This window comes from Homo sapiens, chromosome 14 (assembly GCF_000001405.40).
Source record: "Homo sapiens chromosome 14, GRCh38.p14 Primary Assembly".
NCBI lineage: Eukaryota > Metazoa > Chordata > Mammalia > Primates > Hominidae > Homo > Homo sapiens.
Window position 1 is genome coordinate 21,950,891 of NC_000014.9, and position 19,658 is coordinate 21,970,548.

The following is a 19,658-nucleotide window of genomic DNA, read 5'->3' on the forward strand; positions in this document are numbered from 1 at the left end:
TAGATTGTGCTGTGCTGGTTCTGGGCCTGTTTGCCCACCGATCCCTTCCACAGCTCTGTCCTTTACTCTAAAGTCGCAGACCACTGTGGCACAGGCTCTGAGGCCAAGAGGCAAGTTTTCTCCGTGCTATACTCTCACCAACAGTATTTTACCCATTTGCTTGTAAATTCATGATGTTTCTTGTATTTGTATCATCTATACTATTATTTACTTAATTAAATGTTAAATTAACTTTTATGTTGAGTAGACTTCAAAACTGTGTAAAATATTGTTCTTATTTTAATGGATACTATCAGTGAAATTATATTTTATATAAACTATACATCTGATGTGCAGGCTATGTTTGTTCCTGATACAAACTAAAATAACATTACATGTATAACAATTAAAAAGACCATCTGTGTACTGCCTAACATGACCTCCTATGTTAACCACAATTTAGAAAATACTGATTCAGCTCATGTCCCTCATTTAATAGATGAAAAAAGTAGAATCAACAGGGACAGCATCACTTACTCAAAGCATGAATTACAGCAAAATGGAAGCTAGGAATGGAACACAGACATTGTGGCCCCTTGTCACTTGCTTTTTCCATGAAGGATGTAAAGTAGGATTCAGTGTTTGAAAAAAGGAGTGGTATGTTGTAATTTTAAACTAAATTATACTTTTATTACTTAATTATATGTTCATTAGAATAAATTAGGAGATATAAACACCCAGAAAACATAGAACACTCCTATAATTTCATAACCTAGAAATGATAGCTATTCACATGCAATAAAATTTTTGGTGCACATGTAAAGCTATATTTTTGTATAAATGTGGTTTATAATACATCAAGTATTTATTAGCACACTTTTCTTTCAACTTTATATTTAGGTATTTTCAACTCAGGAAGCAAATATTGAAGAATAATTTTAAATTATTGCCTAGTTTCCATTACATAAATATGCTTTTTTAAAAACTCTTTTTTTTGGTATTGTTTCTACTTATACAGTATTACAGATAATGTTTTTATTAACATCATTAAAGGTGTAGTTTTAATGGAAGTGAAGTTGCTGGAATAAAGAAAAACACATGATACTGAATCCCTTATTTCCATGGAGCTATTTCTCACCAAACTGTAATTTCAACAGTAGCACATGATGATGCTAATTTTCCAATATTTTACCAATTGTAAACATTATTATTTTAGATTAGCTTCCATTTTGTTAAGTAAAATATTGTTTTTTATTATTCTTTTCTTTTAATTTGTGATTTTATACCTTTGATTATTAAAATAAATAAATAAAATGAGATGAGAAAACATCAGATGCCATCACACAGAACAGGTATCCTTTCATACAGTAACATGTGTTTTTTGAAAGTGTGAAAAATACTGCTTTGGTCCAAGCTACCTTCTAACTGGTCTCTCTTTTCTCAAGGCAATCAATTCTCTATGTCCTTGCTACTTGAAGTGTGAGCCAGCATTGTCTGAACTTGTACTGATTCTCAGGCTCTACCCTAGGCTGATTGAATTTGAATCTGCATTTTATCAAGATTTCCAGGCGATTCTATCACATCAAAGTTTAAGAAGCACCCATCTGATGAGTTGCCAGAATGATTTTTTAAAGTATAAATAAAGAGCTTTCTCCACTTGTCAAACGTGCTTCAATGGCTTTCTACTGCTCCTGGAATAAAGTGTGGTGGCTTTCAGGCTGTGATATAAAAGGATCTATATAATTGGAACCTCCCTTGGCCCTTTGGCTTTAAATTCTCTTTTCCTGGCTCTCTGTGCAGCAAAACTTCTGATTCTCTTTCCCACATGTAGGCTCTCTTTCATCCATCTGAAATGCTCTTTCCCTAAATCTTGTTGAGCCTGACTCAACAAGAGTCATCCTTCAGGTCTCAGCTCAAATGTTACTACTGTAGAAGAAAAACCTACTGACCTCTGCTACTCTTCCTGACTAATATATCTGTCTGTAATCCTCCCCCTAACTCTGTCAGAACACTCTAGTTATTTCTCCTATGTTATTTATCGTAACTTACAGTTACATTTTTGGTTTATTTGCCAGTATGTTCATTGGCCATACCTTCTATTAGAATGCAATCTTTATGATATCAGGGGTATTGTTGGTTTAGTTCATGGCTTGATTCTTTTTGTTTGTTTTTCTTTTTTTTTTTCCAATTTTTATTTTAGGTTCTGAGGGTACATGAAAAGGTTTGTTATATTGGTAAATTGCATGTCACAGGGACTTGGTGGAGAGATTATTCCATCACCCAGGTAATGAGCATAGTACTTGATAGGTAGTTTTTGGATCTTCACCCTCTTCCTACTCTCCACCTCCAAGTAGGCCCCAGTGTCTGTTGGTTCCTTCTTTGTCTTCATGTATAATCAACGTTTAGCTCCCACTTATAAGTGAGAACATGCAGTGTTTCATTTTCTGTTCCTGTATTAATTTGCTTAGGATAATGCCCTTTAACTGTATCGATGTTGGTGCATAGGACATGATTTCATTCATTTTTATGGCTGCATAGCATTCCATGGTATATATGTACCACATTTTTTTCCAGTACACCACTGATACGCATCTAGATTGTTTCCATATCTTTGCTATTGTGAATAGTGCTGCAATGAACATGTGTGTGCGAGTGTCTTTATGGTAGAATGATTTATATTTCTTTGAGTATATACCCAGTAATAGGATTGATATGTCTGATAGTATTTGTTTTATGTTATTTGATAAATCTCCAAATGGCTTTCCACAGTGGCTGAACTAAGTTACATTCTCACCAGTGGTATAAAAGCATTCCCTTTTCTCCCCAACCTTGCCAGCATCTGTTATTTTTTTTACTTTTTAGTAATAGCCTTTCTGATTGGTATGAGATGGTATCTCATTGTGGTTTTGATTTGCATTTATCTAATGATTAATGATGTTGAGCATTTTTTATATGCTTGGTGGTTGTATTGATGTCTTCTTTTGAGAAGTATCTGTTCATGTCGTTTTCCCATTTTGTCTGTTCATGTTGTTTGTTTTTTGCTTGTTAATTTGCTTAAGTTTCTTATAGATTCTGGATATTACACCTTTGTCTGATACATAGTTTGCAAATATTTTCTCACATTCTGTAGGTTGCCTGTTTACTCTGTTGATAGTTTCCTTTGCTGTGTAAAAGTTCTTTAGTGTAATTAGGTCGCATTTGTCAATGTTTGGGTCTTTTTGCAATTGCTTTTGGAGTCTTTGTCATGAAATCTTTGCAAGGCCTCCAGAATATAATTTCATAAGTTTTCATCTAGGGTTTTTATAGTTTTAAGTTTTACATTTAAATCTTTATTTAGTCCATCTTGAATTTATTTTTGTATATGGTAAAACAAAGAGATCCAGTTTCAGTCTTCTGCATATGGCTAGACAGTTACACCAGTACCATTTATTGAATAAGGAGTCCTTTACTCATTGGTTGTCTTTGTTGGCTGTGTCGAAGATCAGGTGATCATAGGTGTGTGGCTTTGTTTATCGGTTCTCTATTCTGTTCCATTGGTTTATGTGTCGATTTTTGGATTATTACCAAGGCTAAGTTTTGGTTACTTAGCTTTGTACTAGAATTTCAAGTTGGGTAATGTGATGTCTCCAGTTTTGTTCCTTCTTTTGTTAAGGATTGCTTTGGCTGTTCAGGCTCTTTTCTTGGTTCCATTTGAATTTTAGAATGGTTTCTACTAATTCGGTGAGAAATGACAATGATAATTTGATAGGAATAGTGTTGAATCTGTAGATTGCTCCGGGCTGTATGGACATTTTGATGACACTGATTCTTCCAATCTATGAGCATGAAATGTGTTTCCATTTGTTTTTGTGGTCTATGATTTCTTTCAGCTGTGTTTTGTAATTCCTATTTTAGGTATCTTTCACCTCCCTGGTTAGCTGTATTCCTAGATAACTTTTTTTGTGTGGCTATAGCGAACAGGATTGTATTCTTGATTTTGCTCTCAGTTTGGAGGTTTTCAGTTTATAGAAATGCTACTTATTCTTGTACGTTGATTTTATATCCTAAAACTTTGCTGAAGTTGTTTATTAGGAGCCTTTTAGCAGAGGCCATGGGTTTTCTAGGTAAAAAGTCATATAGTCTGTGAGGATAGAGATTTTGACTTCCTCTCTTCCTATTTGGATGCCATTTATTTCTTTCTCTTGCTTGAATGTTCTGGCTAGGATATCCAGTACTATGTTGAATAGGAGTGGTGAGAGTGAGCATCTTTGTCATGTTTTTGTTCTCAAAGGGAATGCTTCCAGCTTTTGCTTGCTCACTATAATATTGGCTGTGGATTTGTCATAGACGGCTCTTATTATTTTGAGTTATGTTTCCTCAATGCCTACTTTGTTGAGGAGTTTTAACCTGAAAGGATTTTGAATTTCATCAAATGTTTTTTATGTCTATTGAGGTGATAATGTAGTTTTTTTTTTTTAGTTCAGTTCATGTAATGAATCACATTTATTGATTTGTATATTTAAACAACCTTGCATTTCAGAAATAAAGACTACTTGATTGTGCTGGATTAGCTGCAGGATTTGGTTTGGTAGTATTTTGATTAGGATTTTTGCATGTGTATTCATCAGGGATATTGGCCTAAAGTTTTCTTCTTTTGTTGTGTCTCTTCTAGGCTTTGGTATCAGAATAATGCTGGCCTCATAGAATGAGGTAAGGAGGAGCTCCTATTCCTCAATATTTTGGAATAGTTTCAAAAAGTACCAGCTCTTCTTTATATGTCTGGTAGATTTTGGCTATGAATCTTTCTAGTCCAGGGCTTTTTTCTTGTTGTAGGTTTTTATTACTAACTCAATTTCAGAACTCCTTATTGGTCAGTTCAGAATATTGATTTCTTCCTGAGTCAATCTTGGGAGGTTGTATTTTTCCAGGAATTTATCCATTTCTTCTAGGTTTTCTGGTTTATCTGCATAGAGGTGTTCAAAATAGTCTCTGAGGGTTTTTTGTACTGCTCCTGTGACATTTCTGATTGTATTTATTTGGATCTTCTCTGTTTTTTTCTTTATTAGTCTAGCTATCAGTCTAGCAATCATTTTTATTCTCTCAAATAAAAACCATTTGGTTTTATTCATCTTTTGTATGGTTTTTCATCTCCATTTCATTCAGTTCAGCTCTAAGTTTGTTATGTCTCTTCTTCTGCCAGCTTTGGGGTGGGTTTACTCTTGGGTTTTTTTAGTTACTCTAGATGTGATGTTAGGTTGGTAATTTGGGATCTTTCTAACTTTTTGATGTGGATGTTTAGCACTATGAACTTTCTTTTCAACACTATTTTAGCTGTGTCTCAGTGATTCTGTTATGTTGTATCTTTTTTTTCATTAGTTTCAATGAATCCCTTGCTTTTTCCTTAGTTTCACTGTTTACTGAAAAGTCATTGAAGAGCAGGTTGTTTAATTTCCACATAATTGTATGGCCTTGAGAGATCCTCTTGGTATTGATTTCTATTTTTATTGCAGTATAGTCCAAGAGAGTGGTTGATATAATTTGGAGTTTTTTTGAATTTTTTGAGAATTGCTTTATAGTCAAGCATGTGGTTGATTTTAGAGTGCAGATAAGAAGAGTGTGTATTCTGAGGTTGTTGGGTGGAGTGTCCTATAGATGTCTGTTAGGTCCATTTGGTCATGTGTCGAGTTTACAACCCAAATATCTTTGTTATGTTTCTGCTTCAATAATCTGTCTAACACTGTCAGTGGGGAGTTTAAGTCTACCAGTATTATTGCATGGTTATCTAGGTCTCTTCATAGGTCTCTAAGAATTTGCTTTATGAATCTGGGTGCTCCAGTGTTGGATACATACTTATTTAAGATAGTTAGGTCATCTTGTTAAATTGAACACTTATCATTATTCATTATTTAATGCCCTTCCTTGTGCTTTTTCATCATTGTATTTAGAAAGTCTGTTCTAACTGAAATTAGAAAAAGTAACCTCTGCTCTTTTTGGTTTTCTATTTACTTTGCAGATTTTTCACTGTCTCTTTACTTTGAGCCTATGTGTGTCACTGCTTGTGAAATGGGTCTCTAGGAGACAGCATACAGTTGGGTCTTGCCTCTTTATCCAAATTGCTACCCTCTGCCTTTTAAAGTGGGTCATTTACTCTGTTCATGTTTAAGTTTAATATTTATATGTGTGGATTTGACCCTGTCTTCGAGTTGTTAGCTGGTTGTTATGTAGACCTGATTGTGCAGTTTCACCAGGTGTGGTGGGTGATGCCTGTAATTCCAACACTTTGGCAGGACAAGGTGGGCAAATTGCATGAGCCCAGTAGTTTGAGACCAGCCTGGGTAATATGGCAAAACCCTGTCTCTACAAAAAAATAAAAAAATTTAGCTGAGTGTGATGCTGTGTGCTTATAGTCCCAGCAGGCTGAGGCAGGAAGATTGATTGAGCCTGACCAGTCAATGCTGCAGTGAGCCATGATTGTACCACTGCACTCCAGCCTGGGTGACAGAATGAGACCCTGACTCAAGAAGAAAGAAAGAAAGAAGGAGAGAAGGAGAGAAACAGAGAAAGAAAGAAAGAAGGAGAGAAGGAGAGAAACAGAGAAAGAAAGAAAGAAGGAAGAAAGAAAGAAAGATAGATAGATGGTGGAGCTGTTTTACAGTGTCAATGGTCTGTCTTAATTGTGTTTTTGTGGTGGCTTGTAGCAGTCTTTTTTCCCCATGTTTAAGCATTCCTTTAGGGACCTCTTATAAGGCAGGCCTGGAGGTTACAAATTTATTTAGCATTTGCTTGTCTGAAAAGAATTTTGTATTTCCTTTGCTGATAAAGCTTAGTGTGGTTGGCTATGAAATTCTTGTTTGGAATTTATTTTCTTTAAGGATGCTGAATATAAGCCCTTAATCTCCTCTGGTTTATGAGGTTTCTACTGAAAAGTTCACTGTTATCTTGATGGGGTTTCCTTAGTAGATGACCAGCCCCTTCCCTCTAGTGGCCTTTAATATTTTTTCTTTCCCGTTAACCTTGGAGAATCTAATGACGATGTGTCTTGGAGATGGTTGTCTTGTACAATGTCTTGCTGGGGCTCCCTGAGTATCCTGAATTTGAATGTTGACCTTCCTAGTGAGGTTGGGAAAATTTTTATGGGCAATATTCTCAAATATGTTTCCCAAGTTCCTTTCTCTTTCTCTCTCTCTTTCAGGGATGCCAGTGAATTATAAATTTGGTGTCTTTACATAATCCCATATTTTTCAGAAATTTTTGTTCATTATTTTTTATTCTTTTTTCTTTATTTTTGTCTGACTGAGTTGATTCCAAGAACTATTCTTTGACCTCTGAGATTCTTTCCTCAGCTTGTTGTATTCTCCTGTTAATACTTAACAATTGTATTATAAAGTTCTTGTAATGAGTTTTTCAGCTCTATCAGAACAGTTTGGTTCTTTCTTAAAATGGCTATTTTGTCTTTCAGATCTCATATTATTTTATTTCTTTACATTGTTTAGATTCCTTGGATTGGGTTTCAATTTTCTTATGAATCTCAATGTTCTTACATCCAAATTGTGACTGCTCTGTGTGTCATTTCAGCCATTTCAGCCTGGTTAACAACCATTGCCTGGGAGCTAGTGTGGTTGTTTGGAAGTAAGAAGACACTCTAGCTTCTTGAGGTGCCAAAGTTGTCGTGTTGGTTATTTATCATCTGTGTAGGCTGATGATCCTTTAATATTTGAAGTTCTTGTCCTTTGAATTTTTTTTTTACTTTTATATTATTTTATGCCCTTGAGGGATTTGACTGTGGAATAAGTTGCGTTCAGTCAACTGGCTTCATTTCTGGATGATTTCAGGGGTCCCGGGTTCAGATGAGCATTCCTGCACTGCATGCTCTAACCCTATGGGGTTGGGACCAGGCCCACTTCTTTGTTCTCTGGCCCCTTTAGGTTAAGTACCGACTGAACTGGAGGGGCTGAGGTGTTACTGGTTTGCTGACATCAACACTCCACTTGGGGGTGCTGGCAAAAGCACTTCATTGAACTTGTGGCAGCAGGATCAGGGCTCATGTACACCTGTGCCAGGGGCAATGGCGGGAGGGTGTGGATATGTGTCAGCAGTGGCCTGTCTGCAGAAGCTCTCTGATGGTTAGGCAGAGTTTGCTGGTGAAGTAGCTATGACACCAGTCACCAGGAAGTGCCCTGGTTGGACACCTAACGCAGAGTTGCAAGTAGGCATGGTCAGGTAGGGACCCTGGGAGAGGTCGGCAGACAAGGGGGTGCTCAGATCAGACTAGTCCTGACCCATGGGCAAGACACCTCTACTCTGTCCAGGTCTGACAGTCAACAAAGGCTAGAGCCACGTAGAGGAGCATGGTGCACCTTGGGGAATAGGCATCCCTACTGGGCTCACTGCCTCTATTCCCATGCTAAACACTCTGGGCTTCACACAGGCTAGAGTCCTGTCACTGCCAGCACTCCAAGTAGCTCTCCCTGCCAGCTCAAATTTCTATGGGCATCATGGGGTCTCCTGCAGTTAGGATTCGAGAGGTCCATGGGAGGAGTTAGCAAATGCTCACCTATCTAATTCAGCCTTTCCTCTGGAGACATTGAGCGTCATGAATGAGTCCCAGTGCTTGGCAGCCCTGTGCAGGGTTCCCGGGTTCCTCTCACTTTGGTCCAGGGTCTGAGTCTTGTCTCCATCCATTCTCAATGCATTCTTTCTGACGATACCCTCAGAGAATGCAAGTCTTCCTGATGGTCTGATCTCTTGGTAGGAGAAGCTCTTTCTAGCTGTGTCTAATTGACGATCTTGGAGCTCCTCTTCCTGGCTTTATTCTTAGTGTCTAGAATAATGACTAGCCCATAGTAATCGGTCAAAAATTCTACTGAGTGAATGAAGAATGAAATTTGTTTGGCCCTCCCCTCTTTCTCCCTTTTCCCTTCCTCTCATTCCCACTCTAGCAACTTTGACCTTTGTGTATGTTGTCTCTACTTCACTATGTGGGGCAGCTCAATTTTCTCTGGCCCTCACCCCCAGACTCAGAACCCAGTCTTTTTGTACTTAGTGGCTTCTGTCAAATAGATTCACTCAGGGCCTCAACCTTTCCTCACTTAATTGACCTCACCTTATCAGATGTGATGTGAAGGACTGAGTCAACTCTTAAGGCTAGTAACCCATAGCGAAATATCTAAAAGAAAAACGACATACTTAAAAGATGTTTGGAAAGTATAAAAGTAACTTCTCAAGCCTAATAATTATGAGCACATATCAAAGTTTTATTTCAAATTACTGCAAGAGAAAAAGCTCCTCAAGAAACAAATTCAAATAATTAGCCTTGGTATATTGTTACAGGAATCCAGATTTTTAAAAATCTGGTTAAAGATCATTATTGCATTCAAATGACGGTTGCATAATTACCCTGCTTTTGACTGCCTGTGTAGTGACTATTAGGCTTCTCACAAGATTAATGGTCATTTGAGTTTGTAACACTAATTTCCCAGAAGGAATCTTTATTTCATTAAAGGATATTAGAAAATTGCTCAAGCGTTTTATTAGAAGTGATGGTTAATTACCACATGGGGCTATGTATATTATATCCTCCGAAAAATGCCTGCTTCATACCAGTTTGGAGAAACTTACCTTTCTCAGCTATGTATGTTATATCCTTCATAAAAGGCCTGTTTCATACCAGTTTGGAGAAACTTACCTTTCTCATGTGTAATTTAAATCTTTACTTTACAAATCTTTACAACTCCTTTAGTGAGGATTTGTCAGGTCTTGGATTTTGTCCCTTCTTACAAGCTAATAAGCTTGTTTCATTGAGGCTGTCAATAAAAACACAGGGCTCCTTAGTAAGAGACAAAGGATTTTTATTACTTATGGCACAACAAACAGCATGAACACTGATATATTTCCATCAGTTTCTCCTTCCTTTAAGTCCTCAAAAGATGATGTAATGGGTAGTAAGGGATGCTACCCATGAAGTGGTATTATGTCACAGGTGAGGAACTCTGAGCTTAGGAAGTTCATTGCTTTTATAACAAGCACTCAGCCAGCTTGCTCTTTGTCTCAGAGGGAGACATTACCTCATCTCCCAAGGTTGCTTGCTGGCATAACTCTGAGAAGTGATCCAGGTAGAATGCTCATGTCATTACACTGTTGGCACACTCATCAAGTCACGTTTGAGTACAAGAGACTCATGGTGGACTGCCTTTCAATAATATCCACTCCATGGTCTTACACTGGGTTAGTTGCTAGAAATTTATTTTATGAGTATGCCACTTTGTCAGTCATTCTGATTTGTGTAACTGAGAGATGTCATGACTAAATGCATTACATTTGTCTCAAGTAGCATTTAATTAAGGCTACTATCAGCAGAACTCTAAGAAGCAGAATGAGACCAACATGCAGTATTAACCTTAATTATGCTTGATCCAGCCAAATGTGAGTAAGTTCCAAAGTACAGACAGCTAGCATGTAGTATTTTATCTATTATAACCCATACATGAAAGTTCAGACTGAAATGTTGGTCTTTCTTTGAATTACCACAAAGAAAAAACCCTACCATTCCCAATATAGAGATGTTATATGGCCCCTTTCCCCCGGGCATAACCCAAAATGCACAAGTTAATCAAATTTGGGATTTATTATTAAACTTGATTTGGATAAGCATTGCATCACTTTGGTTAAACTACGTGAGCAGTGTCAGTGAGTATTTGCAATATTTGCAACCTCTGTAGCCATTCATGACATAACCCAACTGTCAAGATATCAGGGGAAGCATATACATTTGTGTCAGTCAATTTGAGACAAGGTTGTGCTGATTCTTGTGTTTGTATACTTATGAAGATGGGGAATCTATATTGGAAAGCTGCCACTGATAAAATAGTCTGGGAGCCACATTCACAAGAGTTTTCCTGTTTTCTTGGGATGTGGGAGGAGATAACAAACCAATAGCAGGACACAGAGTTGCTGCTTGGCTCCAGAAGACAATATGTTTGTTTTTCTATACTTGTTCTAGCATACAAAGAGAGCATTAGACCCTCACTTCTCCCCACTGGCCAGGGTCTAAGAGTTTCTCTTGCTATGTGCTCATCATCACTAATCATCAGAGAGATATCCATCAAAACCACAGTGAGATATCATCTCACACCAGTCAGAATGGCTATTATTAAAAAATTATAAAACAACAGATACTGTTGAGACTGCAGAGAAAAGGGAACACTTATATGCTATTGATGGGAATGTAAATTAGTTCAGTGCCTGTGGATAGCAGTTTGGAGATACCCCAAAGAACATAAAACGAAGCTATCATTTTACCCAGCATTCCCATTGTTGGATATATATGCAAAGGAAAATAGATTGTTGTACCAAAAGGATACATGGCTTCTTATTATTATTGCCATGGTATTCACAATAGCAAATATGTGGAATAAAACTCTGTGCCCATTGATGGTGGATTGGATAAAGAAAATGTGGTACATATATACCATGGAATACTATGTTGCCACAGAAAAGAATGAAATAATTTCTTTGCAGCAACATGAATGGATCTGGAGGCCATTATACTAAGTGAATTAATGCAGAAATGTTAAACCAAATATCACATGTTCTTACTTATAAGTGGGAGCCAAACACAGAACCTACGTAAACATGGCAACAACTATGGATTACCAAAGGGAGCAGGAACTGGGGGGTGCATTAAATAGTACCTATCGAGTACTATGCTCACCACCTGGGTGTAATATACACATGTAACAAACCTGCACATGTACCTCTTGTACCTAAAATATAAACTAAAATATTTAAAAATAGACTCAAAATTAGCACCATTTTCAGAAGCGTTTATTTTAAGATAAATTGCTTTTAAATGAAATCTTGTTTTGCAATACTCTGAGGTTCACAAGACATATCTAGAAAATGTACTATTGCGGAAGGTGAAGACGGTGTAAAACCAGTGGGGGAGAGGTCAGTGGTTTTTCTTATTGGTTGATTATCAGAACACTGTCCTTTGGGGATATGAAAGAGTTTTATATATTCTTTAGACATAATTAGACAAACAATGGTCCATAGGGCAGGTTTGATGCTGTACAAAGTCTGTCATTTTGCTAGCACTGATATGGTTCTTGGGTCCACCACAGCATTAGATCTGTTGATGCATTTATATTATGCTTTGTTACAAATCTTGAAAAGAGGGGTGCTTCTTACAGACTTTGCTTCAGATATTAGATTTTGTTTTAGTAAATTTTCCAAGACTGTAGTGGCTGCCAGCTTGTGTTACTTTCACTTTTCCTCTGGTTTTTGTATTTACCGAGAAATGGTCATGGTTTCTGTCAAGTGCAATGTACCCTTGGAGAAAGGAATTTCAATATTAGCATCTATTCCCTCATTCTATTTCCTAGGTAGTTGTTGGTGGGAATGGGAAAGGTTAGCCTCAGCCATCTTTGGTGAATACCGATTACATGGCTCTTGAGTGGAAAAAAGCCTGCTTCATTGTTGGCCTCTTCAAGGACATGAAACACGTTGTGGAACAGAAGAGAACAGTAGTTGTCTGTCCTTGTTTATCTATAGACTCAATTGAGTTTCTTGCATAGATAGCTCCCTGATAGATTTGGTTTGCTGGTTATGTCAGGATGAACAAAACCTATAACTTTTAGAGATTGATTCCTAGGTATCAGCTTTATACAAGAAAGGCAATAAGAGGGACAGGACAAATGAACAGGCACATTGGGTTTTATTGACAGTCTAGGTACTAAAGGCAGGTTCATCTCAATTGCACCAACCCAAGCAAGAGCTGTTTTGGCACAGATGCATCATTGGTGCAAAATGGAATGACAAAGTCCAAGCTCCTCCAGTTCCTGGCCTTGTTAAAAAATATTGCTTAGGCTATGGGCTGCAACCATGTTTGTTTTGTTCAGCTAGATTTTAGGCCATTTCATCTTGGAAGACTTATTTTGAGTTATAAGAAATTTCTTTAAAAGTTGTATATAACAGAGTAGTATAGGAATATGTGGCCTGACATTAAGAAGAGCTATACAGTGTGAAATTCTCCCTGAATTGCAAGAATCTCACTCAGATTTCTATAATAGAATCTGTTATGTCTGATTTTTTAGTTCAGGAAAGTGGCTATTAGAAATAAGTGGTCTTACTGACCCAAGAGTTGCCATTTGATGGAAACTCATACACACATATATACCCCTCTGCCTTTCTCACACATACATTGACTTTGACTTTTAATATAGCTTAAAAGCTTTATTAAAAGTTTTTATTTTTAATTGATTCATAATATTTGTACATATTTATGTGGTCCATGTGATATTTTGTTAGGTGCATAGAATATACAATAATCAAGGCAGGGTGTTTAGAATATCTATTACCAAGAGCACTTATCATTTCTGTATTGAGAATATTTCAAGTCCTCACTTCTAGCTATTTTGAAAGTACAATGTGTTGTTGTTAACTTTAGTCATTCTACTCTGCTATTGAAAATTAGAACTTATTCCTTCTGTTTCTACCCACTAACCAACCTCCTTTTATTCCCCCAACCACATCCATTTCCTTCCCAGTCTCTGATAACCATCATTCTAGTCTCTGTCTCCCTGAGATCAACTCTTTTTTTTTAGCTTCCACCTATGAGTGAATTCATGCAATATTTATCTTCTTGTGCCTGGCTTATTTCATTTAACATAATGACTTCCAGTTCCATCCATGTTGCTGCAAAGGACACGATTTCATTTATTTTTATACCTGAATAGTATTCCATTGTGTAACTATACAACATTTTCTTTATCCATTCACCAGTAGATAGACACTTTGTTGATTTAATATCTTTACTATTGAGAATAGTGCTACAATAAACATGAGGAGGCAGGTATGCCTTCAAAACACTTCTTTCCTTTGGATAAATACTCAGTAGTTGGATTGCTGGATTGTATGGTAGTTCTATTACTACATTTTTGAGAAATTTCCCTACTGTTTTCCAGAGTGGCTGTACTAATTTACATTCCTACCAACAATGTTTGAGAGTTCCATTTTCTATGAATCCTCATCACATCTATTATTTTCTATATTTTTAATAATAGCGATTCTAACTGGGATAGGATGATATCTCATTGTGGTTTTGATTCGCATTTCCTTGATGATTAGTGATGTTGAGCATGTTTTAAATACCTATTGGCTATTTGTCTTCTTTTGAGAAATGTCAATTTAGATCTTCTGCCCATTTTTAAATGGGATTGTTTGACTTTTTTTTTTGCTGTTGAGTTGTTTGAGTTCCTTGTATATTCTGAATTTAACTAAAGTGTCATATTTTCACTTTTAGCAGTTCACATAACACAGGTCTGTAGTTGGAATACATCTTTGATCACTTTCATGAGTCCTCAAGATGGCAGTGTCTTCTCAGGGACCTTGAGGCAAGCTCTCATGTGCTCCTGCGGTGGGGAGGGGAGGGGATGCATGTGCACTTGCAAGTGCACACACACACATGAATAAGAGCAAGACAGAGGGAGAGATGAGGGAGGAGCTTAATGATGGAGCAGAGGTGTTAAAAAGAACATCCTTTTTCTAATTGGTAGGACAGATTTCTTTTATGATTCCTACAGCAGAAAAATGAGAAACGTTTGTTATTATTTTTTTTTCGTGTTTAAGGTTTGAATCCTCAGTGAACCAGGGCAGAAAAGAATGATGAAATCCTTGAGAGTTTTACTGGTGATCCTGTGGCTTCAGTTAAGCTGTGAGTTTTGGGCATCTCTGTAGAAACATAATGTATATTGTTTGCAATTATTGTGTATTCTAGGCCTGTGGGTAGAAACATGAGTGGTTTTTTCTCTAACAAAGGGAGACTGGGGAGAGTGGGGGGCCCATGAAAAGATGATTTAAATTCTGGGTACGAAGTGTCCCCTACCCAATCTGTCTTCTCTGTCTGACTGCTGTCTTTTTTCACAGGGGTTTGGAGCCAACAGAAGGAGGTGGAGCAGGATCCTGGACCACTCAGTGTTCCAGAGGGAGCCATTGTTTCTCTCAACTGCACTTACAGCAACAGTGCTTTTCAATACTTCATGTGGTACAGACAGTATTCCAGAAAAGGCCCTGAGTTGCTGATGTACACATACTCCAGTGGTAACAAAGAAGATGGAAGGTTTACAGCACAGGTCGATAAATCCAGCAAGTATATCTCCTTGTTCATCAGAGACTCACAGCCCAGTGATTCAGCCACCTACCTCTGTGCAATGAGCGCACAGTGCTCCCCAGACACTTGCAGTCTGTACCCAAACCTGCTGGGCCCCAGGAATGCCTGATGTAGAGCTTAGACTGCAAGGCAATGAAGTTCTATTTGTTCTCTAGATGCAAATGAAAACTAAAAGCAGTAGTATTGAAGGTTTGATTAATTTGGGACATATTTTCATAATTCTGAAAATTATTGAGACCCCAAAGGAAAATAAAAGACACCATTTGGTCTACTTGAAATATTTTCTAGTCTTCTCTTTCCACTTTAGTTTTGAAATTTTTTTTTTGCTGACTTTGTGGCTCATGTCTGTAATCTCAACACTTTTGGAGGCATAGGGAAGAGGATCACTTAAACCCAAGAATTTGAGACTAGCCTGGGCAACACAGGGAGACCTTGTCTCAAAAAAAGAAAAAAAATCGCCAAGAGTGGTGACATGCACCTGTAGTCCCAGCAACTTGGGAGGGAAGAGGTGGGAGGATTTCTTGAGTCGGAGAGGTGGAGGCTGCAATGAGCTGTGATCACAGGACTGCACTCCAGCCTGGACAATGGAGTGATACCCTGTCTCAAAAAACAAGCAAAAACAAAACACAAAACAACAACAAAACACAAATAAAATATTTTTATTGAGGTGTTATTGACACACAAAAAGGTGCACATATTCACTTTATACAGACAATATAATCGTGCCATAAACATATGTACCATTTCTAAAAATTTGCTTCCTCCCTGGTTTCTTTTTATTAAGTTATTATTGCTATACAAAAAGGTACATTTATTTAATCCATGCCCAGTCTACTTTTATGCCACATCTTTACTTTATGAGATTGGTTTTATGATTCTTTTTATCAAAGACAAGAAAATATTTCCATACAATAACAGATATGCTCTCATGGTTCCTAAGACATTTTGCTCTTTCCCCAAGGCATTTGATAGACATTGCTTTAAGAATGAAACAGCAAAGCAGAAATGCAAAGAGAAGAAAAATCATAAGCAGACTAATTTGAAAATCCGGTAAGTCATAAATTTTTTAAGTTACAGAACCCTAACTCCATCTCCAGCCTCAACTACAACATCACTCCTGAGTTATATAAGGGTACACCTGATGGACAGCTGGAAGAACTAGAGTGAGAGAGTGAGAACTGGTTGAGAAAAAGCCTAATTAGTTGCACAAACTAAAGATTAGAGAGGGTCTATGTTGCCATTTTGGGGTAAAGTTTTAATCAAATTCAAAACTCCCAGCTTGAGCCTGATGGGATAGTTTTTTGATTCCTATGTACTTGAGTGTGGCCTGGAGATGGGAAGGAGCATTGGCTGTAGTTGTAGAGTGCCTCATCTCCCCAGCAGGGCATGACAGCACAGAAGGACTTAAAATTTTTTTGAGAAGGGTCTCTAAGTATCTTAAAGAGATCCAGACACCAAGGTCCTTTGTTATGATGAGTAAAGACCTGTATGAATAAGATACCAAAGACCGTATGGAATTGAGAATGCTTCAGGAAATGTTTGTCTGGAGAGTTGGAAACACTAAACATCATATGAATATCTCCATCCCCTGACTACAAGGCACCACAGATTTGCCCTGCAGTGTATGTCAAGTATGGGGAAAGCATTTGTGGCCTGACGAAATAAGGCCTTTTAGTAGACATTACTTTGAATTACAGGCAAAATATTTGAGAATCATATTTACTGTAAAAATGAAGTTGTGGTCTGATAGGCATAACATTATTTATGTAGCCCAGAAGGTGGGAAAAGCTTGGAAATGAAGAATAAATGTTTCTGTCCAGTTTTATTGACAGTCACTGATGAAAATGATGAAGCCAAGTCAGAATTTGCTGCAACTTCTTACTCTGCAGAAGTGAAGACTCTGAACAAATATTTCCCAGTCATAGAAGAAAGATTTAAAAAGCAAGGAGGAAGAGCAAACAGTTGTGCTGGAATCAAGGTACTTAAATTTTTATTCCACTTTTATGATTTGCCTTCTGGCATCATGGCACTCTGGAAAGAACTCAGGCTGTGGTGCTGGTTTGAACATCGATTATATTACTTATGGCCTTTTTCATATTAAGCTCTACAATTATATATATTTCAGGACTGGTTTCAGGATTCCGTGAGACAAAATATTGTCTTGGGATGAGTTCCTTAAAAGCAGAGACTGCATTTGGAATTCTCTGTCTGTAATTTATTTGGGAAACCAGGTTGAGATGGGGGAAAGGCTGGACATGAGGGGGAAAGGTTGAGATGCTGGACATGGTCCAGCAGAGGTCTTGATCCAGCCTGACCTCATGGGGAGCTCTGGAGCTTGAACTGTATCACAGGGTTGATTCCTCCCACCCTGAGGCAAGGAGGCCAGACTGCTCGGACCTATTGTGGGTAAGAATAAAGTCATCATTGGTTGTGGTGTTTCTTGGGGTAGAGGTATATGCTACTGGACAATGGTGACTCTCATTGGCTAAGGTCAATTTTCTAGGGAAAGAGGCAACTGTGAGCCAAGAGTAGCCAACATTCACAGTAGCTGGGGATGGCTACACTGTCCTAGGAAAGGGGATCTAGCTTGGGGACCAGCAGTGCTCATTATTAACATGGAACTTGCCTGGTATGTGGGTAGCATTTGAGAAATAATAGACTTTGAGCAGAATAAATGATATCAGAGATTGAAGATCAACTTACTGAAATAAGGTGTGAAGACAAGATTAGAGAAAAAAGAATGAAAAGGAACGAACAATGTCTCCAAGATATATGGGACTCTGTGAAAAGACCAAACCTACGTTTGATTGGTGTACCTGAAAGTGACAGGAAGAACAGAACCAAGTTGGAAAACACACTTCAGGATATTATTCAGGAGAACGTCCCCAACTTAGCAAGACAGGCCAATATTCAAATTTAGGAAATACAGAGAACACCATTAAGACACTCCTCAAGAAGAGCAACCCCAAGACACATAATCGTCAGGTTCTCCAAGATTGAAATGAAGGAAAAAATGTTAAGGGCAGTGAAACAGAAAGGTCAGGTAACCTACAAAGGGAAGCCCATCAGACTAACAGCGGATCTCTCTGCAGATACCCTACAAGCCAGAAGATAGTGAGGGCCAATATTCGACATTCATAAAGAAAAGAATTTTTGACACAGAATTTCACATCCAGCCAAACTACGCTTCATAAGTGAGGGAGAAATAAAATCCTTTACACAGAAGTAAATGCTGAGGGATTTTGTCTCCACCAGGCCTGCCTTGCAAGAGCTTCTGGAGGAAGCACTAAATACGGAAAGGAAAAACTGGTACCAACCACTGCAAAAACACACCAAAATATAAAGACCAATGACACTATGAAGAAACTGCATCAACTAATGTGCAAAATAACCACCTAGCATCATGATGACAGGATCAAATTCACACATAACAATATTAACCTTAAGTGTAAATGGGCTAAATGCCCCAAGTAAGAGTCACAGACTGGCAAATTGGATAGAGTCAAGACCCATCGGTGTGCTGTATTCAGCAGACCCATCTCATGTGCAAAGACACACATAGGCTCAAAATAAAGGGATGAAGGAATATTTACCAAACAAATGGAAATATTTTTTAAAAAGCAGGGGTTGCAATCCTAGTTTCTGATAAAACAGACTTTAAACCAACAAAGATCAAAAAAGACAAAGAAGGGCATTACATAATGGTAAAGGGATCAATGCAACAAGAAGAGCGAAGTATCCTAAATATATATGCAACCAATACAGGAGTACCCAGATTCATAAAGCAAGTTCTTAGAGACCTACAAAGAGACTTAGACTCCCACACAATAATAGTGGCAGACTTTAACACCCCACTGTCAATATTAGACAGACCAAGAAGACAGAAAATTAACAAGTATATTAGGGACTTGAACTCAGCTCTAGACCAAGTGGACCTAATAGACATTTACAGAACTCTCCACCCCACATCAACATTCTTCTCAGCACCACATAGCATGTATTCTAAAATCAACCACATAATGGGAAGTAAACCACTCCTCAGCAAGTGCAAAAGAACAGAAATCATAACAAACAGTCTTTCAGGCCACAGTGCAATCAAATTAGAACTCAGGATTAAGAAACTCACTCAAAACCACACAACTACATGGAAATTGAACAACCTGCTCCTGAATGACTACTGGGTAAATAACAAAATTAAGGCAAAAATAAATAAGTTCTTTGAAACTAATGAGAACAAGGAGACAATATACCAGAATCTCTGGGACACAGCTAAAACAGTGGTGAGAGGGAAATTTATAGCAGTAAATGCCCACATCAGGAAGTGGGAAAGATCTAAAATCGACACTCTAACATCGCAATTAAAATAACTAGAGAAGCAAGAGCAAACAAATTCAAAAGCTAGCAGAAGACAAGAAATAACTAAGATCAGAGCAGAAATGAAGTAGATAGGGACCCAAAAAACCCTTCAAAAAATCAATGAATCCAGGAGCTGTTTTTTTTTGTAAAGATCAACAAAATAGGTGGATGACTAGCC

General features: G+C 37.7%; 1 gene segment (V, D, J or C) and 1 further gene, besides 4 other annotated features; both read left to right on the forward strand.

The window, feature by feature from the left end:
• Positions 1–19,658, forward strand: part of TRA (T cell receptor alpha locus) — a 930,229-nt gene that overhangs the window by 328,987 nt on the left and 581,584 nt on the right.
• Positions 14,617–14,668: a sequence feature (TRAV12-3 leader sequence).
• Positions 14,617–15,171, forward strand: TRAV12-3 (T cell receptor alpha variable 12-3). The segment is given in 2 exon segments: positions 14,617–14,668; positions 14,881–15,171. Coding segments are annotated over 2 exon segments (343 nt in total), but the record flags the coding sequence as incomplete, so codon positions are not given.
• Positions 14,881–14,894: a sequence feature (TRAV12-3 leader sequence).
• Positions 15,179–15,201: a recombination feature (spacer).
• Positions 15,202–15,210: a recombination feature (nonamer).